At 41.3% G+C, this 22,179-nt stretch overlaps 1 protein-coding gene across 4 annotated transcripts in view; it reads right to left on the bottom strand.

The window, feature by feature from the left end:
* The window catches only part of GRHL2 (grainyhead like transcription factor 2), a 188,762-nt gene that overhangs the window by 78,372 nt on the left and 88,211 nt on the right, over window positions 1-22,179 (bottom strand). For all 4 annotated transcript variants that reach the window (NM_001440447.1, NM_001330593.2, NM_024915.4 and 1 more), the window contains exon 8: window positions 3,678-3,772. In NM_001440447.1, coding sequence (NP_001427376.1) covers window positions 3,678-3,772 — 95 coding nt within the window. The remainder of the gene's footprint in view (window positions 1-3,677; window positions 3,773-22,179) is intronic.

Below are 22,179 nucleotides of genomic sequence, written 5' to 3'. Positions count from 1 at the left end.
AAGGCAGTGAAGAGCTAAACTGCATATCAGTTGCCTGGGGGACATAGTTGGGCATGAAAACTCAAATGTTCGCCAAAGCTAGGTAGGGAAAGTTCCAGAATGCAGAATGCTAGAGAAAGCAATAAAGAAAGAGCCCAGTACCTCATTAGAGCCTTGCAAACACTCAGGCCTAATGGTTGCCAGAATCTTTAATTATCCAAGAGACTTAAAAACCTGGATTTTTAAAAATAATAATCTTCTGATTATCTAATGTGGGCAAAAAAAAGTTAAAATTCTAAACAGAAGTACAAAAATGCATAATACACACATACATATATGCATTCTGTGGACCATCAAAAGGCTGTAGGCCACAGGTTTGTGTCCTCTGGCCACACAAACCAAAATATCATGTGATACTGAAAGGGCCTGCTGCCCTGAAGCCTGTGAAAGTTTCTGTGCAGACGTTACCAACGGGAATTTGAATGCAAATGCAACTGCTCCTGATAGATAAGTCCACAACATGAACATCACAAACACTTCCACTGTGAGAGGGATGCCTTTTACTTCTTGCTTTGTTGAAAACCTTTCTGTCAACAATCATGCAATTTTGCCTTTTGTAGTCTGCTTATTATAAAATCAATGATATTTTAGAGAAATGCCTTAGGCTCCGCAGACAAAAAAAATCCTCTCAGCCTTTCTAATGAAGTAGATTTAACTTTTATGATTTCTCTTTAAAAGCTCTTCAGTAACTAACACAGGAACAGGAAACCAAACACCTCATGTTCTCACTCATAAGTGGGAGCTGAACAATGAGAACACATGGACACAGAGGAGGAACATTACGCACCAGGGCCTGTCGAGGGGTGGGGGCCTAGGGGAGGGAGAGCCTTAGGACAAATACCTAATGCATGCAAGGCTTTTACTTCTTGCTTTGTTGAAAACCTAGATGATGGGTTGATAGGGGCAGCAAACCATCATGGCACACATATACCTATGCAACAAACCTACACGTTCTGCACTTGTATCCAGGAACTTAAAGTAAAATAAAACATTAAATGCTCTTCAGTAGTCTGGAGAAAAATATTTGGAACTTTTTTCATTACTTATTGATTAACCCAAACCTCAAACAATTGCTGCGACCAAGTAATAATCACTTAAAATATTATTAATGAAGTTAAAAAAATTTTGCAATATAAAACAATGCAATATAAAATATCCTCCACTGCCATTTTTCAAAGCGTATGTGAGCTTAAACTTGACTGCTCTGAGCAACATGCATGTTCATACACATGCACACTCACATGTACACCCACAAGCACAGGCACACACATTTAGACAAGGAAAGTAAGCTCCTGCTTATGGTGAATGAGTGGTATGGAATGAACTGGGCTGGAAGATCAACTCAACTCCACATTAACTATCTCATTGGTTTACTGCAGAGTCTGAAGCTTCCATCATTAAACTGTACCTTCCAGGTTAGGCATTTTCTATAAAAGGTCCCTATTGAAGCAGAACAGTTAAAGCATTCACCCACTAGCACTCATTATCACAGATTGCATGATAATTAAAATTATGGTAATGATTACAGCTCATAGTTATAGCTTGCCTTAACATTTGTTTTGTTGTTGTTGTTGGTGGTGGTGGTGGTGGTGGTGGTGGGGTGTGTGTGTGTGTGTGTGTGTGTGTGTGTTTAAGACAGTCTCATACTGTTACCCAGGCTAGAGTACAGTGGCATGATCATGGCTCATTGCAGCCTCTGCCTCCTGGGCTTGAGCAATCCTCCCACCTCTGCCTCTTGAGTAGCTAGGACTTCAGATGCATGCCACCCTGCCCAGCTAATGTTTATTTTTTATTTTGTAGACATGGGGTCTCCCTACTTTACCCAGGTTACTTTTGAACTTCTGGCCTCAAGGATCCTCCCACCTTGGCCTCTCAAAGTGCTGGGGTTACAGGCATCGGCCACCATGCCTGGTCCTTTAACATTGATAAGACACTTCCAGTTACACGATCCCATTTTCTTCCCAAGGACTCTGACATAGGCCCTGCCTCTCCCTGGTCACACTGTTGCTCAGTTACTGGTTCCAGGCCTCCCTCCCCAGAGCATTGGATCATCATGCTTTATGCCCTCAGCATGATGCTGGCTGCAGCAGAGACATTTGGAAATCTGTGTGTTTGTCTGCATGCCAGAACCGAGGCCCAGAGAGGTCAGATAACTTGCTCAGGATGACTCAGTGGCCATCCTAGTCCTGTGCCGTCACACAGACTGCCTCTTACCGATCAGGTTCAGCAATCTAGCCTCTGAGAGAACAGGGAACGATGAGAAAGGAATTGGCTGGAATAAGGAGGCACTAGGCAGGGATGTGGGAAAGGTGCAGACAGCCCTAAGCACAGGAGCACGATGTTCTCAGGAGAGGGCAGGGGCAGGGAGAACGGGGCTCGGGTAGCCGAGGAGGTTAACAAAGTGCCGAAAGCACATGGCTTGGGCAGGAAACTTTAAATGAAGGAGGAGTGGACCTTAGAGACACATTTGCCTACAGTTCTGTGTGGGACCAACCTCACACCCCATGGCAAGGCCTGCTTCCTTTCTGGGAGGCACTGAGCCACGGAAACTTCTCCAGGCTGTACGGGCACTCTATCACCACTTGCCCATTTGGGCCGCCTTTCTCAGGCCTGTTCTACATTGTTTTATACTTGAGTGAAATGAGACACTGGGCAATTCTTCTTCTGTGGCCGTGCCTGCAAACTCCCAACCCGTTTCCTTTCTCACCCAGCCTTCCCCCTGCTCGCAGACAATAAAGCATCGACCAGAGCAGTGTACATTGACCTTTTCATTAGTTTGAAGACAAACTCTTCTAACACCCTCCTAGATGGTCCAGAACCAAAGCAAAAAACAAGCTTAGGTTTCATCTGGCACCTTCCCATGAGTGCAAAATAAGAATCAAGGATCAGAAGCTAAGGAACACAGAAAGGAGAGTGGGCATAGCAGAACGGTTTGGGGTTTTCATAAAATCAAAGAGACTCGTGGCTGGAAAGCAAATCTAGGTATCAATGACTCTGCCTTCTTTTATCCAAACCGTTGCAATGGTGGACGTCTCTTCTCAGGGCTCACTTCGCCACAGATTTTACCTTTGTACTTCTTAACCATGTGGGCACTCCAAAAAACAGAAAAAGGTTAGTTAAGCAGCCAACATTAAACAAGTGGCTGAAGGTCACAGTGGTGACCACACCTCCATCAGTAGAGCTCAGGGACCTGCAGCCTGCTTCCTGTATTCCATCCTTCAACCAGCTTAAGCCTGGAAGGGGCTATGGGGTCAGGGGTCTACCCAGTAGCTTACCTACGAAGACATCAGCTCTGAGCTCCTCTCTCTGTGTCTAGAGGAGGCTGCACAGAGACGCCTTTGGGGGAATCTGCACTGCAGAGGGAAAAGGTTTTCAGGCCCCATCTTCCCAGCTCCAAGTGCTAAAATGAAGCTTGGGGCCTGAAGGATTTGGGTGGGACACGCAGCTTGGCTCATTACATTCTACAGGAAGCCACAGAGGAGCACACTCCCTTTTCTCCCTTACCCTCCACAAAGGCAAAAGATGAAAGGTTCATTTCTTTTTAATAGGAGGCTACTGATACAGGCTTTTAAAAAAGAATAAACTGCTGAGGATGGGCACATATTAAGAGGTATAAACAATGAATCAATGTCACTCACCTTCGCCTCTTCATTCACGTCCCAGGTAAAGGAAACAGCATTATATGCAATCTCTTCAATGTTTCCAATCGTATTAAAGCTCTCCTTGTAATCGGCTGTAACATTAAAAAAAGAACAAGCTTTTAAAGGAGTAAGAGTGACTCAGTGACATGTACTGAACCATCATTTTCCAATGGGTAAATTTAAACTTCGTTTATTTTTCAGGCTATCTCCATGCTAACAGTTAAGGACTGGTGCTCACTGATGTTCTTTTACTAATACTTACTCTATAAGAATGTAAGCGTGTTCCTCTATTAAAAGAGTAAAACTAAGCAAACCAATGTTCTTAGCTAATTTGTTCATTAGTTTCATTTTTTACTAGTTTTATAAGATTATTAAGGTTTTCTTTTTTCTCCCAAGCCCTACGTCACCTACCCACTCTCCCTCCTGCTCACTTTTCTGCCACTTAATTTTGCTAGAAGTACCAGGGTACTTCATATGGAATTTTTTGTAGAACAGAATATTCTGTTTATCAGCCAGGCAGTGTCATCAGTACTTTAGTAAAAAAAAAAAAAAAAAAAAAAAAAAAAATTCAGGAGACCACAGTAAAGCTTTTTTAAAATTTCCTTTTGGGGCCGGGTGTGGTGGCTCATGCCTGTAATCCCAGAACTTTGGGAGGCCGAGGTAGGAGGATTACCTGAGGTCAGGAGCTTGAGACCAGCCTGGCTAACATGGTGAAACCCTGTCTCTACTAAAAATATAAAAATTAGCCGGGCATGGTGGCACATGCCTGTAATCCTAGCTACTTAGGTGGCTGAGGCATGAGAATCCCTTGAACTGGGAGGCAGAGGCTGCAGTGAGCTGAGATCATGCCACTGTACTCCAGCCTGGGTGACAGAGTGAGACTCCATCTCAAAAAAAAAAAAAAAAATCTTTTTGGACTTAGGTATGGAGAGTTGAGTTAATCATAGTTGGTCTATTCAAGGCCTTCTCTTATTTTATGACTTTATTTGGTTACTATGTATTTCTTTTTCTTCCTATTATCCTTCCCACAAATGCAATAGCTATAAATGTGTTTATATATATTCTTACGGAATATATTGGTTTGAATTGCCTGTGTATATAGCTTTAATTTTCATAAATTCTGTTGTTCCATGACTAAAGTTGCCAGATTGGGCAAATATTTGGGATATACTTATCTTCAAAATGTATTCATTATTTATCAGAAATTCAAATTTAACTGGCACTCTGTATTTCATCTGGCAATCCAGACTACAGACCTTTTCGGATCTAACCTCACTGCTCGTTGCATGCCTATTTCTTTTTTTCTTTTTTTTTTTAAATTATACTTTAAGTTTTAAGGTACATGTGCACAATGTGCAGGTTTGTTACATATGTATACATGTGCCATGCTGGTGTGCTGCACCCATTAACTTGTCATTTAGCATTAGGTATATCTCCTAATGTTCTCCCTCCCCCCTCCCTCCACCCCACAACAGACCCGGATGTGTGATGTTCCCCTTCCTGAGTCCATGTGTTCTCATTGTTCAATTCCCACCTATGAGTGAGAACATGCGGTGTTCTGTTTTTTGTCCTTGGGATAGTTTGCTGAGAATGATGGTTTCCAGCTTCATCCATGTCCCTACAAAGGACATGAACTCATCATTTTTTATGGCTGCATAGTATTCCATGGTGTATATGTGCCACATTTTCTTAATCCAATCTATCATTGTTGGACATTTGGGTTGGTTCCAAGTCTTTGCTATTGTGAATAGTGCCGCAATAAACATACGTGTGCATGTGTCTTTATAGCAGCATAGTTGCATGCCTATTTCTAACTGTGGCTCCAGGGACTGTCGCCACAGTTTACTTATCTCCCATCCCAGAGATGGACCCTTCAGTGGTCTCTGCTCTCTGGTACAGACATCTCTGTGATAAAAATTCATACTCCTGGGAGCTGAACTGATGACTGATCACATAAAAAGTTACTAAATGTGCTCTCCAGAACAGCCCTCCAGATTCACTCTCCAGGATGGATCAGCCAGTGCAGCCTCCCACCAGAACTCTATTTCCCTTTTTCTCTCTACTTTCTTGCTAATCTGATGAGCACAAGGCAGCATTCCACTGACAACATATTTGCACTTCTTCTACCGCTTTTAAGTTCAAACATCTCTTCTCACACAGGATAGCCAACTAGGTGTCTCCTTATGGAAACTGCTTACTAATGTCCTTTGCTGTGTTTCTATGGTTTCCCCCTATGGAAATTTTAAAGCCAAACTACATGTTTACATTTTAAATAAAGCACGTACTTCAATATAAAAGCGTGTGTGGCCACCACAGGAAAGTCAGAGACCATGAACAAATATGAAAAATATTTAAAAGCAATCACAATTTTCTCACCCACAAATAACCAACTATAAACAGATCTGTGGTACACTTCATCCTTCCTATCTTTCTCTCTGCCTACCTTTCTCAAAAATATGTAAATATTTTATACAATACTGTAACAATTATTTCTTTATTTATTTTTGCCTAATGCATCATCAGCATCTTCCCATGTCAATAAACTGGTGTAAAATTACTTTTAATGGCCAAATACTACTAAATTGAATTATGTGCCAGGACTTTATTTTGCTTGTCTTGGCCAGATGATGTCCAATAGTTTTCTATTTCAAATAATGTTTTAATTATCTATACAGCTAAAAATTCATATATGCTTAATTATATTTCGTTAATATATATTCTTAGAAGTGAAAGTAGCAGGTCAAAGGAAAAAAAATTTTTAAGGCTTTTAATTCATTTTGTCAAAGTGTTCCTGCTAAAGTTGAAACAATTGACGTTCACAGTAACAGCGCATATGCATGTGTTCTCGTTTCCTCCAAATGTTTCCTTCCAAATTGATATGCAAAACATGGTGACTCATTATTTTAATTTGTAATTTATTGATTGTGAAAGAGGTTGAACCATCTTTCATTTTGTTTTTGACTCTTTGTATTTCTTCACTTTTTTCTCTGTTTTATTTATTTATTTTATTTTTTTTATTTTTATTTTTTGAGACGGAGTCCTGCTCTGTCACCAAGGCTGGAGTGCAGTGGTGCAATCTCAGCTCACTGCAAGCTCTGCCTCCCAGGTTCAAGTGATTCTCCTGCCTCAGCCTCCTGAGTAGCTGGGACTACAGGTGCCTGCCACCACACCAGGCTAATTTTTTGTATTTTTAGTAGAGACGGGGTTTCACTGTGTTAGCCAGGATGGTCTCGATCTCCTGACCTCGTGATCCACCCGCCTCGGCCTCCCAAAGTGCTGAGATTACAGGTGTGAGCCACGGCACCCAGCCCTTTTCTTTGTTTTAAAAATGCATTTATTTATTGAAACACTTCCTGTTCTGTCCTTTGCCCATTTTTTTTTTCTTAGGGTATTCAGTTTCCTTACTGATTTTGAAATAAATAGTTAAAGCTAAAAGAGAAAACAAAAAACAAAGAAAAACAATTTTATATCTTTCAAATTTAGAATAAGGTTATACGACTATACTTGGGATGATTTTAAATATAAACCTGTGCTTCCAGCAGGCCAGCCAAACTCTTAAAATTTTGAAGAGAAAAGAAGACTGTTGAATTTAGATCAACTGAAGTCCTTGATTCTTTATAGCTAATTATTCTAAAAGATAGTCTCGCAACTTTGAAGTTTTAAATACACATTTAAAAATAAGCAGCCTTTAGGTGAATTGTAAAAAAGAAAGCAAATGTCATATCTAGAAATAAAGACAAACCAAGAAAATTTGTTCAAACATGTATCCTAGCTCTCATGAGTTACAACATTATGAGGTTTTATTTCCTATAGCTTCTCCACATAAAAAATGTCTTCTGTTAAAATTGTATTAGCTCAAATAAGGAAAGAATTTCAAAAACAAATGCAATATAGATACAGATAAAATACTCTAATCTTGTTCAAGGTCCCTGTCAGTTTCTATCACCTTCACTTAATCAACAAATGTATTGAGGAAATATTTACTGTGAGCCCTCTATGTGCCAGGCAGTGTCCTCATGCTTGAGAAAGAGCAAGAAACAAAACTAGGTCCCTGATCTTTTGGCTTTTTCAGTCCTAGAGACAGAATATAAATAAGTATATAGATAAATAAATGAACAAGACGATTATCCTTAATCTGCTTTTGTATGCCCAAAACAAAAGGATAGTAAGACTACTTTTTATTGGGTGGTTCCATTACCTTGTATATGTCCTTCATGGCATGTACAAGTATTTTATTTATTCGTTTACTATTTATCACCAACATTTCTCATTAGTTATATATGTTATATGAGGGCAAGGAACTTATCTTAAATACTGCTGCTTTCTCAGTTCTTAATATCATACTCATAGGATGTGCTCCATAAGTTTGTTGAGTGAATGAATGGATGGATCCTTAGGCATTCTAAACAAGAAAGATAACTAAGAGACTAATGTCATGCACTCCTCTCTAGCCTTATACCATACAAGAAATGTCTGCTCATCTCTACCCTTTGTGTTCAGTCTCCACAGGTGGTACAATAGCTCTGCTCCCACTTCACGACTCTCAAAGTCTTCCAAGGGACTAAACAGCTGATGCACACCAATGTGGCTTCTTCCACATGCATAGTTGTCCGACAAATAAAATGGTAACAGATGTGCCTCTGGTTTCTGAAAGCTGGGTGAATGTCCTTGGGTGAGTGTTGTATGCTTAAGAGTTTACGGCCCACGGTAGGAATGGAAACTCAGTAACCTGGTGTTGAGCCTTCCTCAACTTATTTCCTCAAGAAAGTTTCTCAAACCCGAATGTTGTAAATGTTGACAGCTGTAGTCAGGAAAAGGCATAGTAATGAGCTGCTGTGCCAATTTCCTTGAGCTGTCATAACTAATTACCATAAACATGGTGGCTTTGAACAACAGGAATATTTTTGCTCACAGTTCCAGAGGCCAGGAGTTTGAAATCAAGCTGTGCCATGCCAGCGGTGTGTGACTCCGATCTCCGATCTCCGCTTCTGTCTTCACATGGCCTTCCCTTTTGTGTCTCTGCATCTGTTCCCCCTTCACTATCTCTCTCTTTTTTTTTTTTTTTTTTTTTTTTTTTTTGATACAGACTCTCACTCTTATTGTCCAGGCTGGAGTGCGATGGTGCAATCTTGGCTCACTGCAATCTCTGCCTCCTGAGTTCAAGCGATTCCTCTGCCTCAGCCTCCCGAGTAGCTGGGATTACAGGCACCTGCCACCATGCCTGGCTAATTTTTTTGATATTTTTAGTAGACATGGGGTTTCACCATGTTGGCCAGGCTGGTCTTGGACTCCTGACCTCAGGTGATCCACCTGCCTCGGTCTCCCAAAGTGCTGGGATTACAGGTGTGAGCCACCATGCCCAGCCTGTTCCCCCTTCTCTTTTAAGGATTTGTCATTGGATGTAGGGCCCACCTTAATCCAGGATGATCTTATCTTGAGATCCTTAATCACAATCTGCAAAGATCTTTTTCTGAAATAAGGTCATATTTACAGGTTCTGGGAGTTAGGACGAGGACATATCATTTTTGAGGGTCCCACTCAACCTCCTACGTCTGGGATTCCTTCCTGTGATTAGAACTCATGTGATCTGAGTGAATGGCTTCTTTTTGCAATGATAGTTACCATAGCTGAAAAATAATCACCCCGCTTTAAACGAATTATAAAACACAATTATAAAATACATCTTTGTGAACATATTGAATTTCAAATGGACTTTTTTCCCCTAAAAAAAGTGACAAGGCAACATAAAAACTACATATTTTAAATACTAGTTTGTAAACACAATACTAACATCTACCTGGCGAGGATGAGTGAACAAATAGGAAAATGGCTTAATATTTCCCAAAACAGGCATGATGCAACAATATTATTATTGGCTGAAACAGGTTTAAAAAAATTATGCCAACCAGGCGTGGTGGCTCACGCCTGTAATCCTAACACTTTGGGAGGCCGAGACAGGTGGATCATCTGAGGTCAGGAGTTCAAGACCAGCCTGGCCAACATGGGGAAACCCCATCTCCACTAAAATACAAAAATTAGCCAGGCGTGGTGGCAAGTGTCTGTAATCCCAGCTACTCTGAAGGCTGAGGCAGGAGAATCACTGGAACTCGGGAGGCACAGGTTGCAGTGAGCCGAGATCACACCATTGCACTCCAGCTTGGGTGACAGAGACTCCATCTCAACAACAACAACAACAAAAAGAATAAAACCATGGGTAGAAAAAATGGGAGTCTTTCTAACGAAATAAGAATGAACTTAATCTCATTGTTAATGTCATGTGCTGCCAGAGATATAGCCAAAATGTTCAAGGTCCTCTCTAAGTCTGTGTGTGTCCTTGGAATCTCAGAGTGAAGTGTATGGGAACACATGGAAATTCTCTGGGGTCTGCTAGGATCCTCCCAAAGCAGAACAAGTGTTTCCAAATTCCCATGGCTTACAGGCTTGAGGGATTCTATAACGGTGCTTCTCGAATGTTGCAGTGCACCAGAATCACCTGGAGGGCTTTGGTAAAATGCAGATTCTCTGTCCACTCTCAGAGATTCCGATTCCATAGGTCTAGAATGTGGCCAAGAATTTGCATTTCTAGCAAGGTCTCAGGTAGAGCTGATGTGGCTGGTCTGGGGACCACACTTAATATTGTTCGATGGCAAATGGAAATGCCAAAATAATTAAAAGGAACAACTTCATTATTGGATTATTTTGGTGCCTTTGGTTCACTCCACACAGTATTAGAAAGTGCTATATCTGGCCGGGCATGGTGGCTCGTGCCTGTAATCCCAGCAACTTGGGAGGCCAAGGCAGGTGGATCACGAGGTCAGGACTTTGAGACCAGCCTGACCAACGTGGTGAAACCCCATCTCTACTGAAAATACAAAAATTAGCCGGGCGTGGTTGTGGGCACCTGTAATCCCAGCTATGCAGGAGGCTGAGGCAGGAGAATTGCTTGAACCCGGGAGGCGGAGGTTGCAGTGAGCCGAGATTGTGCCATTGCACTCCAGCCTGGGCGACAGAGCAAGACTCTGTCTCAAAAAAAAAAAAAAAAAAAAAAGAAAAGAAAGAAAGAAAGTGCTGTACCTGTCATTAAGGTCCTACGTCAACTGTCAATGAAGTCCATGTGACAGTTCCCCTTCGTTTCTCAGATTTCCCTTCTTAGGAGGACTAAATACCAATATGGGAGGACAGGCAGTTACCTGCACAGTAAGATTCAAGCACCACCTGCTCCAGGATGTCTACTTATTCTTATGCCTGGAAGCTCATCCTGAAACACTCTATCCTTTGGATAAAGACATTGTCATCTCCTGGCATTAAAATGCAAATGCCCTTAGGATAATAACTGCCACAAACAGAGAACTTACAAGCTCATGCCAAGCCTATGTGAAGCCTTTATCACCTCTGCTAATCCTGGCAACCACTCTATGAAGCAGGAATCAGCATCTTCCTCCCACAGCGAAGTTCAGCTGTTTGTGGAAAATCACATAGCTGGTAACAAGCCAACCTGTGATTTGAATCCGGGTCTGCTTGATGCAAAAAGCCACACTTTTAACCACTGCCCATATTTGTCTTGCAAATTCAACAACACATTGTCAGCAGATATTGGGATCATAGTATGTCCTACAATGGCTACTAGTTTCTTGGGAAGCACTGAAGGAATGTAAGCTTGATGAGGCAAAGAGACTGGACATTTTGGGATCATTGCAAATTCCTTGACAAGAAGGACAAGGTTGGGGTGCTTCAGTAGAGAGGAGACAAACAAGAAAATATCTCCACATACTGCAAGCACTGTGAAGATCGAAAGAAAAATTCCAAAGTTAGCCTTTCTAAGAAAACAAGAGGTGTCAGTGTTGGGGAAATGATGATAAACGTTGCAGTGCTTCTGCAAAGGGCTGCTGAGGATGTGTGAAAGTGCAATGCTTTGTGTTTGTGTTTCTGGCAAGCTATATTTGGCACAGAAATTATAGGATCCAATTCTATTTGAATTGTTATGGTGAATCCTTTTGTTATTTTTTTATTTTTTATCTTTTGCATATAATCACTGGCCTGTTAATAGGTTTTTAAATTCAGACTTCTGTAGGCTGAGCTTTCTTCAAATGGATTGTAGGGGCAAGTGTGATTCTGGAAATCCCGTCAAAGGCAGTGTTAATTCCTCCACCTTAATTGAGCTTCACACGCTTGGTAAATTATAACTACCCCTTTTAATTATTTTTGTATATATTTTTGGAGATTAAAAGGAGTGGCATAATTAATATAAAGATTGCTTCTCTTCTGAAAGGTGCGGATTCTGTCTGGACTAGTGAAATAATGAAGCTGGAATGCTGAAAATGGCTCTGGGCACAAATGCCGACTCAAGGTACATACACCATGGCCTAATAAGATGCTTTTAACAAAAGCTGAGAGCTCGACATAGTTTATATATTTGGGGCCGTGGTGCTTAGAATTCTAAGGGTGGCAATCAAGGTATAAAGAGAAGGAACATGGTGGTGGAGACACACAGACCTGAATTTAATTTTCCGTCCCTCTTCCCACCAAGCCCCGAGACCTTCGGTGAGTTAACTCAACTTCTCTAAACTTGAAATTTCCTAATCTACAAAATAGAGACAATAGCTAAGAGAACTGGGCCCTGCTAGTCTCATAGTGGAAGGTGGGACCAATACTTGTCTCCACTTTGCACCTCCCATCTGTCCTCAAACATCCACTTCTCCCTGTCTGCAGTGCCAAATAGGATCGGCTCAAACTCAGGAAACAGGAGAGGGTCATTCCAGGAGTATTTGCTCTGACTTGAAACAGGCAGAATAAATGAACCCTAGTCCAAGTAGATTCTGAGATTTTTTTGTCTGTTTTCAAAATCAAAGCAGTGGCTTCTTAAAACCTGAATGACTCACAAGAACTCACTTATGAGTTCATTATTTTCTTTATAATGCTTTACAGAGTCAGAGGTGACCTGACTGGGTTTCCTTAAGTGTGTTAACACTAGAGCTGATTTTTAGAGGCACTAAAGTATTTCCATCATTGAAATACTGGTCCATGAGCAAATAATAATAATGGCCACCATTTTTTGAGAGCCCTGTGCTAAACATACATACTTCACAAGTATTACCTCAGACAGTTTTTCTTGGTATCTTTTTATTATTATTATTCCCACCTCATAGAATAGGAAACAGGCAAGCATGTAAGTACTCTCCCATCCCCCACAGTCAGTTTGTAACGGGCCAGGCTGGGATTAGAACTTACGAAATTCATCTACATACATGCCAGAGGCCTTTGACTCCTCTGCTACACAGCCAGATGAGCACCTTTCCATACATAATCCAGGACAATAACAACTGAAATTATGAAAACATATGTGACCAGCATAGAGTGACCCGTCTATTAATATATCATTAAAGGCATAATTATTAGTAATATTATTACTATTTACTCTCCATGGCTTAGTATAATACCCTCACAGATACCATTTGTGTTTCTTAGAACTTTCTCTTTAGGCTACATCTAATATTTTACATGTGCTTGATTCACCCTCCTGTTTGTGGAGAAGGAATTATATAGACAATGTTACAGCTTTCAAGTTGTACTGACCATAAGCACAGAGTATGAACATTTGACATTGTAACCTATTACTATGTTCTGTGTATGCTAGTATTTTTTATTCTGTCTGATTTCATTTTTTAAGAATGTTGGTCTTGACTAACAAACTTGATTTCAAACTGACAATAGGTCATATCCTGTACATAGACACACATAAACACACATGCACGCGTGCCCGTGCTTGCACCACAGCACATAGCTCCAGATTTAGTAACTCAGACAGGCTTAACATTCAACTCATTTCATTAGTCCATGTGGCTCAGGGAGATTTTAACTATAACCATTTTGTCTCTGTCCACAAATTTAATTTGTAAATCACACAAAAGTACCTGGCAGTTTCTGACAGTTTTCTGAATGAATGAAAATGCAAACTGTGCTTTGGTAAGTAACATGCTTAAAACACTGCATGAACTACTCAAGCATATGCCAGTTTTCCATTCTTCATGCTGTTGTCTAATATACTGACACTCTTGGGAGTACATGTGGAGACAAGAAGTTATAGGCACGTAGGATTAGAAGTTACTGCCCAAAGTGGTTAATCAGCAGTAATCACCCCGACAAACAGGGCCCCTTCTACCACAAAGCTCCCTAATCTTTTCCCACCCCAGATGACATATCCAGAAACTATAACACTTGGTTAAACCGACTATAATTTATAAAAGGAAACTGAACTGTTTCTGAAGTGGTGGTATTTTATATTATTGGCAAGAGACTCAAGAATGTCTGTTCTATAAGATTCCACAGCCTCATTCTAGTGTCTAACAACCCTCAGTGTGAGAAATAATTTTCAAACACTTATAGTTGTACTTCAGAGTTGCAGACTGAATAGATTCAAACACTAGAAATAACTTTTTGGTAATTGGCAGTGCAGAAGAAAGACTATAAATCTTCAAGTGGATTATCTTTCACTAAATTTGAACTACAAGCCCAATTACTTAAGCAACTCAAAATACAGTAAGATAAATGTTCATTTTCAAGCTTCCCACTTACCCCTGGCTGCCCAAATCACATACACAGAATGAGTTAAGTGACGTAGGAAGGTAAACCTCTTACCTGTGTTAAGGGGGTGGGGAGCCACTGGGAAGTGGCTCATGCACTATTCTAGTTTGTTGCAGGAATGATTTTTGCATTAACTGCTACTTGAATGACTCATGTTGCTAGTCCTGTGTACTTTTACTTATTTTTCATCAATTCTGAAATTATTAGAGGATTTTGATATTATGTCAAAATAGGATTTTGAGTTCTCTTAGGGAGGGAAACTGCTGTTGCCGTTACAGTTTACTGTTCTAATGCTGACCCCAGACTGTATGTGTGAGTGGACTTGAGTCCACAGCAACCTTTGGAGAACTACATGACCTCATTAAGCTGGCTGCCTTATCTGCGAAATGGAGACACTACAGCACCTATGGCACAGGATTGTTAAACAATGACGAGACTCTCATTTATTAAGCACTCAATTATTTCAACACATGTCTTTCCAAAAGCAGAGAAACTAGTGGTGGTCCACATTCCTGAAGCCTGTTCAAAGAGTTTTCTTCAGATTAGCTTTACCTTATTTTGGCTTCTACAACCTCAAAGAGTTTAATTTAATTTTGAAAAAACTTGGCAAGTTTTAGGTTTTGTAAACAAGGAAGAAAAACTTTAAATTTGCCTAATTTCACTCTTGTGGATGTTACAAAGACATATATTTGTTTCTATTGAAGGCCACAGGGAGAGAAACTTCTAGCAAATGCTAGAGGGTGGCTGAATAGACCGGCTCTATAGTTTTGTTCATGAAACATATGATTTCATGAACTATCTAATTGTATCTCTAGGTTTTTTTTTGGTCATTTTTAAGCCAATCCAATAATATTAAAAACTATAATACTATGAGAGTGCCTGAAGTTTCCTTAAATGCACATCTGAAAAAGAAAATAATGAGGTCCCAAACAGAAAACATGAAATCAAATAAAAGTATAAATTCCACATTGGAGATGAAAGAATGATGTTATAGCTATGGATATAACAAAAGTCCCACCGGTTAGGGGAAAAACAACTCAATGTCCAGTAAATGTGTATTTAAAAAAATGACAGATAGGAAATATAGCATTGTATAGCACTAAACACAGCAGGTCTATCAGTGGTTTCAGTTATCTGTGCGTGTGAGTATGTGTGTGTGTTTTGATTTTGAAATCTCATCATCTAAACCAGTATCTCTATAGGACAGCTTTACCCTGTCATTAAAACAGACTCTCAGAGGTCTCTTCAAGCATCCATCGTCTGCTTTTATCTTCTCTGTAACATTCCTTCTGGTTAACTGCTCATGGCTTTAACATTTCCAGGAGTAGGAGAAATATCAGAAAAGGCTTATTAAACAATAATGTGCTGGAACCAGATAAACTGAGTTCCGAGGAGCAGTGAAGGAAAATGACGAAGGGACACATTCGTTGTAAGTTTTAATTCCACATCTACCTACTTGTTTTAAAAAATTTGCCCTTCAACAATTTTCCACGTCTGTTTCAGGAAAACAGAAATAATTTCTAGTTAAGTTTAAAAGGAGACATTTACCTTTGTTTATGAGTATATATATTATGTTTGTAGGCTAGCAATTAAGTCTCAGAGGTATTTAAGTTATATCAAAATGTTTATAGTACAATAAAATATATTTAAATATAAGAAATGGAAGTACTAAAGGCATATTTAGTCTTCTAGTATCAGAAAAATACTACCAGAAATGATTCTTTCAGCATGAAAGAGGAGAGTCCAACCCCAGTCAGATTTCTCAGTGAACCAGGCACAGGCCTGCTTACTGTCACTGTCACCTAAACGCACAAAACCACACATGGCAGTGTGCTCATCGATTATGCAACATCGGTTGAGCATCTGTTCTCTGCCAGGTTCTGTACCAGCTGCTAAGCATACAAAGATTCAAGGTTAAAAAAATCCTCTCTTCATTCAAAAAGTTCAGCGTCTAGTAGGATGAATAAATGAATGAATGAATAAACCAAGTGAAACACTGCCAAGTGCTATTGTTTAGATCTAAACCAAAGCCTGCAGAGGGAACAGTGGACTCTACCTGGGAAGATTAAGAAGATCTTACCCAAGTGGGGACAGGGAACAAGGTCTCAAGGTGTGAGATGTCTTCCAGGTGAAGAAGCGAGAGAGGGCCATTCTAGGCAAGGAGAACCCCAGAGATGGGTCAAACAAGAGGTTGGAAGTAAGTAGGAAAAAATAGTGAAGGGTGAAAAGATATCTGTCATTTTAAAATATTAATAAAAGACAGATTATGTTGGATTGAGAAATGGGTGACAGTTTAAGATGTCGGGCAGGAAGTGTAGGCTCCTCTTTTAAGAAACATGAGGTGCCTGTAGTCCCAGCTACTCGGGAGGCTGAGGCAGGAGAATGGCGTGAACCCGGGAAGCGGAGCTTGCAGTGAGCCGAGATTGCGCCACTGCAGTCCGCAGTCCCACCTGGGCGACAGAGCGAGACTCCGTCTCAAAAAAAAAAAAAAAAAAAAAAAAAGAAACATGAGGTGGAAGGAAAGAAGAGGGCCCAGCAATAGCTTGAAAGAGAGTCTGCAGGGATCAGGGACTGGAGCTGGGGATAGAATCCTGACCCTTCCCTGGAGGGAACCAGAGGGAGCCCGAGGACCACCCCCATCACACACACAGCGGAAGGGATTTTCCCGAGATACTAGCCTCAACAGAATGAGTTTCCAGGATTCATCCTGAGACAGGTATCCAGTAACTGAAAACCCACAGTGGCTCAATTATGATTGAAAATTATTTTCTGCCTAAACAAATATTAAACTTTAGAGAACACTTGCATTTACAGTGTTTTAAGTTAATTAACCTTCACAGCCTACCGTACTTTTATCACATAACTGTTTCTAATCAAGGTTGAGATGAAAAGGAGTTTTCCATAACTGCAGCTTTAGCACGTCTCTAGAAAACAGAGCATGTCTTACACTGCACATGAACTCGTGATAACAGCAAGGGCGGATGCAACAGAGGAAGGATCTGGAGCTGCAAGTGAGGCTGTTGCTGGCTCACACCCCAGAGTTCCCCTCTCATCTGGTCCTATGGAGGACGTGGGGATGGAGCTCGCTCTTCTGACTGAGCTCCAACTACAGCCTTAATTCTCACCAGCCCTTGGATTTTGTTTTTTTAATTTGGGAGCTCTCAAGAGGTTTGGTTTGGTTTGTAATCAAATTTATTTTTCATATCTATTCAGAAGTATGGAAACAGCCTAGAAAAACATCAAAAAATGAAATCCTATTTACTTGAGTTATTTTTAAAGGAGGGAAGACCTACATTTTCCAGACTGTAGGGAGAGAGCAAATCTGTATAATTTGGGGAAAAGGACAGCCCTCCAGAGAACCAGAGAACTAAACTAGGTGGGATGGTGGGAAGCCCTGCTGAAGAAAGTGGGGAGTTGCTGGTGCTCTTGTCTCCCAGGCCTGTTTGGGCCACAAATTCACACTACGTGATCACCTGGCCACCTGGCCACTTGGCTACCTGACCACCTGGCTGCCTGACCACCTAGCTACCTGGCCAGCTAGCCACCTGACCACCTGGCTACCTGATCACCTGGCTACCTGACTACCTGACCACTTGGCTACCTGGCCAACTGACCACCTGACTACCTGACCACTTGGCTACCTGGTCACCTAGCTACCTGGCCACTTGACCACCTGACCATCTGACCACCTAGCCACCTGACCACCTGGCCATTTGACCACCTAGCCACCTGACCAGCTAGCCACCTGACCACCTAGCCACCTGACCACCTAGCCACCTGGCTACCTGACTTCCCAACATGTGGACGTCACCTCTTCCTACACACCACCTTAAATCTCCACCCTCCCACTTTTCTGCATAGCTCTCAGAGTAGCCCAGCCCAGGACTGGCTATAAAAACTGAGAAAGCATGCTTGTAGGGCTCATCCAAAGCCAGCTTCCTCTAAAAAACTCAAATAAAAAAAACTCTTTTTTTTTAACAGTTTAAATAAACTGTTTAATTATGATTCTTGTTTGAAAGTGGAGCATGACTCCAGATTAAAAAGAGCTTCTAGACCTTAACAGGATAGCCATGCTGAATCATCCACAGAGGTCAACTAAAGTCTGTGATCAAGAGTCTCTTAAGAGGCTTCCTTTGCCCTCAAAGAGAACTATGGAGAATCAAACGTGAAGAAATGCTTTGATTTCATTTTGAAAACTTAAGTTTTCAAAAAAGTGTGACTTTAATATAAAACTACTTTCAGCAGAGCACAATTTAAACATTGACTCTTAAGAAATAGATTTCTATTAGGACACAGACAAAAATCCTATAATCATATGCTAATAACTGAAATTGTACTATAATTGCCTGCTAATTACCATGGAAATCTACAGGATTAATATTAATAATGTAACTAATAAATCCTGATACAGGAAAGATTACTGTGAACCAACATTGAAGACAGAGATTGAATAAAGAGCATACAGTTTATTTCACAATTAACTACAACCTTGTGTCAATAATGCTTACACTGGATGTGACTATAATGATGTTTATTTGGATGTGTTTGTGGAATCAGGCTCACTACATCACAACCTGTACTGCCCGTTCTGAAAGCACAAGAGCTGTTATGTGCATTATTTTGGAACATCTGCACCAGAAAGTAGTAAAGGAATTCTTAGTTCTCTTCTGTAGGGAGAAGTTATATATGAGTGTGCTACCAATTAACTGTTGTAGCTTCTGGCTTTCACTCTATGAAGTTAATGTTGGTTGTTGAACCTCTTCTAATTTTCCTTCCCTGTTTGAAAGGTAACAAATAGAAAAATATGCCTTCCCGAGAACGTGGTTTTGGAATTATCCACTATTTGAGGAGATTTGGACTGATATCTAGTCTAGTTAACTTTTTTTATTTGTGATCCATTTTAAATATTTTTTAAATGGCTCACACACTGTGCAAAACTGGATAACTCCACTGTGCAAATAAGTCCTGGGAAACTCCCAGCCTGTTCTATGTGTAGACGGTGCCTCAAAATCAACATGCCCCTGGCTGAACTCAGTACCTGGCCAACCTCCACTCCCTCAACACTTGGCCTTGCTGCTCCTTCTGTCTCACCTGCCTCTGGGGAGGGCATCCAACCAGTTAGCAAAGCTGTGCTTTTCTTCATGATCCTTTTGTTCCCCTGTATCCCCCACAGCCAATCAGTCATCAAGGCTCTATCAGCTTGACAGTTTGTCTCTCACTCCTGGGTTAACTTTGTATTTCTCCTTTGCAATTCATGCCTTCAATCCCAGTCTTTCACCTGGCTATTGCTGGTTTTCCATTGCCAGTCCATCCCTCACTGCATCCATCCCACATGCTGGCTCAGAATTACCTCCCTGAAATACAGATATCCCATTACAAACCTGCCAAAAATCCCCAGTGGTTATCTAAAGCCTCCAACATCAAGCACTGCAACTCATTCAAGAGAAAGTTCATTTTGTCACAGTATTCTATTTGATTATTACTTCCGCACATTCTCCACTGTCTGTCCTTATTAAAGTTCTGGGAGGGCTGATGAGCAAATGTAACACAGCCACTTGGATGAATGGCAATTTGCAGGTACAATTTCTATTATTACCCTCTCTTACACATCTTGGATCTCTAAAATCTGCTTCATTCAACAACAGAAAAACATGGCTAAACAAGATATTCATGTTAAACCTCAGTATAAAAAAGTATAAATACACACACATACACACACACACTTGAATATCTCCCCAATAAAACTGTAAAACAAGACTTTGTGGAGCCAAGATACTGTTAAAGCAACAAAGAGCAAGAAACTCTGAGCTCCACTTCTGGCTTAGTGACGTTCCTCTGCAAAGACGCTGAGGTGGGTGGTCGCAGAGGAACTCAAATAGCATTTCCCTAACATTCTACCTGCAGCTCTGAGGTTTGCCACCAGGACTGAGGTGTCAAGAATCAATGAACCTCTAACACTCAGAGCCTTCTGGGTCTGTGGACCCCTAGAATCCTTCCTGGGCTCAGTCAGCCTCCATTGGGGACCCAAGGCTTCAGCCTGTGACACATAGAAACAGCTTAATCAGGGTTTCTTTTAGAGTTTGAGACCAGAAAATTCCATCTATGCTTCATCTCCCTGCCATTCTAAGATGCCCTTAAAAAATACAAGCCTTTCCACAGCCCCATGTACTGAGGACTCCCTTCCTTAACCCTACTCTCTGCATGGGTCAAATCAACAAATCAACTAGCACTCTCACTAGCGTGCATGAGAGTATCCACCCCTTCCACCTTGGCTAATAGTGTTATCAGACTTTATTAAATAATTTGTCAGTCCCATTTTTTTTTTTTTTTGAGACGGAGTCTTGCTCTGTTGCTCAGGGTGGAGTGCAGTGGTGTGATCTTGGCTCACTGAAACCTCCACCTCCTGGGTTCAAGGGATTCTCCTGCCTCAGTCTCCCAGGTAGCTGGAATTGTAGGTGCCCGCCACCACGTCCGGCTAATTTTTATATTTTTAGTAGAGATGGGGTTTCACCATGTTGGCCAGGCTGGTCTGGAACTTTCTGCTTCAAGTGATCTGCCTGCCACGGCCTCCCAAAGTGCTAAGATTAGAGGCGTGAGCCACTGCGCCCAGCTTCAGTCCCACTTTTTTTGTCTTGATTACTGTATCTATGAATGTGCTATTGCACAACTTGCAGCACCCTTCCTACCTTTTTGACCTCACATGCCCTAGTTATCCTTTCAGATGAGTCTCAGAAACTTCTCTGGGAAGCGCTCTTCTATGCTGCCACTTACCACGTGATATCTTAGCTAGTCATCTTCTTGCCCCTAGTCTTGAGCAGTTTGAGTACAGGGCTCTGCCTTAATTACATTTGTATTGCCAGTGCCTAACAAAGGGTCTGGCACATAGTAGGTGTTCAGTAAACTTTTGCAGAACGAATGTGGAATAACTGTGCTTTTCCTCAAACCGGTGTTAACTAACTAATATGGGGCCATCACTAACTCCAAGTCTTCTTTTAAAGGGGCTTTCTCACTCAGAGAAAATCAAATGACAAATTTAATTTAAGCAGAGATTCCACGCAAGAGGTATAACCGACATAGGAATGCTCCTGGGACTGCAGAATGTAAACTTATTTATGACCTTGAATAATTGTTGTTATTCAAGGAGCTCACAAGAGTGAACTTGTGAGACTCAGAGAACTTTGCTTATGTGTTTTGAAAAGCAGCAGAATCTACTTGGGCCTGGGTTTGTTTGGTTTACTTACCTCAAGTTAGAGCTCATTGCTAATGTTTTCTTCCCCTGCCCCCAACTCCTGCCAAACAGTTTACGACCCAATGTACAAGAACCGCATATCAAACTGGCTTCCACCAATGTCAGAACTAGCAGCAGCCAAGAAGTCCACCACTCAGACTGCAAAACGTCCTCCATGTCTGGAGAGGAAGGCACAGACCAAAGAATCAGGATGTCTGTGAACCAGTCTCTCTCCATGTAGACAGGGCCTGGTGGGTGCCAAGAACTGGCTAGAGGCTGGAATACAAAGGCAGTATATGGTGGAGAGAGGGCTTCGAATAATTGTTTTTTAAAAAATGGTGGCACGCAGTGGCTTACGCCTATAATCCCAGCACTTTGGGAGGCTGAGACGGGCAGATCACGAGGTCAGGAGATCGAGACCATCCTGGCTAACACAGTGAAACCCCGTCTCTACTAAAAATACAAAAAATTAGCTGGGCGTGGTGGCGTGTGCCTGTAGCCCCAGCTACTCAGGAGGTTGAGGCAGGAGAATCCCTTGAACCAGGGAGTCGGAGGCTGCAGTGAGCCGAGATCATGCCACCGCACTCCAGCCTGGGTGACAGAGCAAGATGCCGTCTCAAAAATAAATAAATAAATAAAATAAAATAAATAAAAATAAAAATGGTGCACATTTTGGCATTCTTGGGTTTC

This window comes from Homo sapiens, chromosome 8 (genome assembly GCF_000001405.40).
Source record: "Homo sapiens chromosome 8, GRCh38.p14 Primary Assembly".
Classification (NCBI taxonomy): domain Eukaryota; kingdom Metazoa; phylum Chordata; class Mammalia; order Primates; family Hominidae; genus Homo; species Homo sapiens.
Note: the sequence above shows the minus strand (reverse complement) of the source record. Positions and strands in the feature narration are given on the sequence as shown.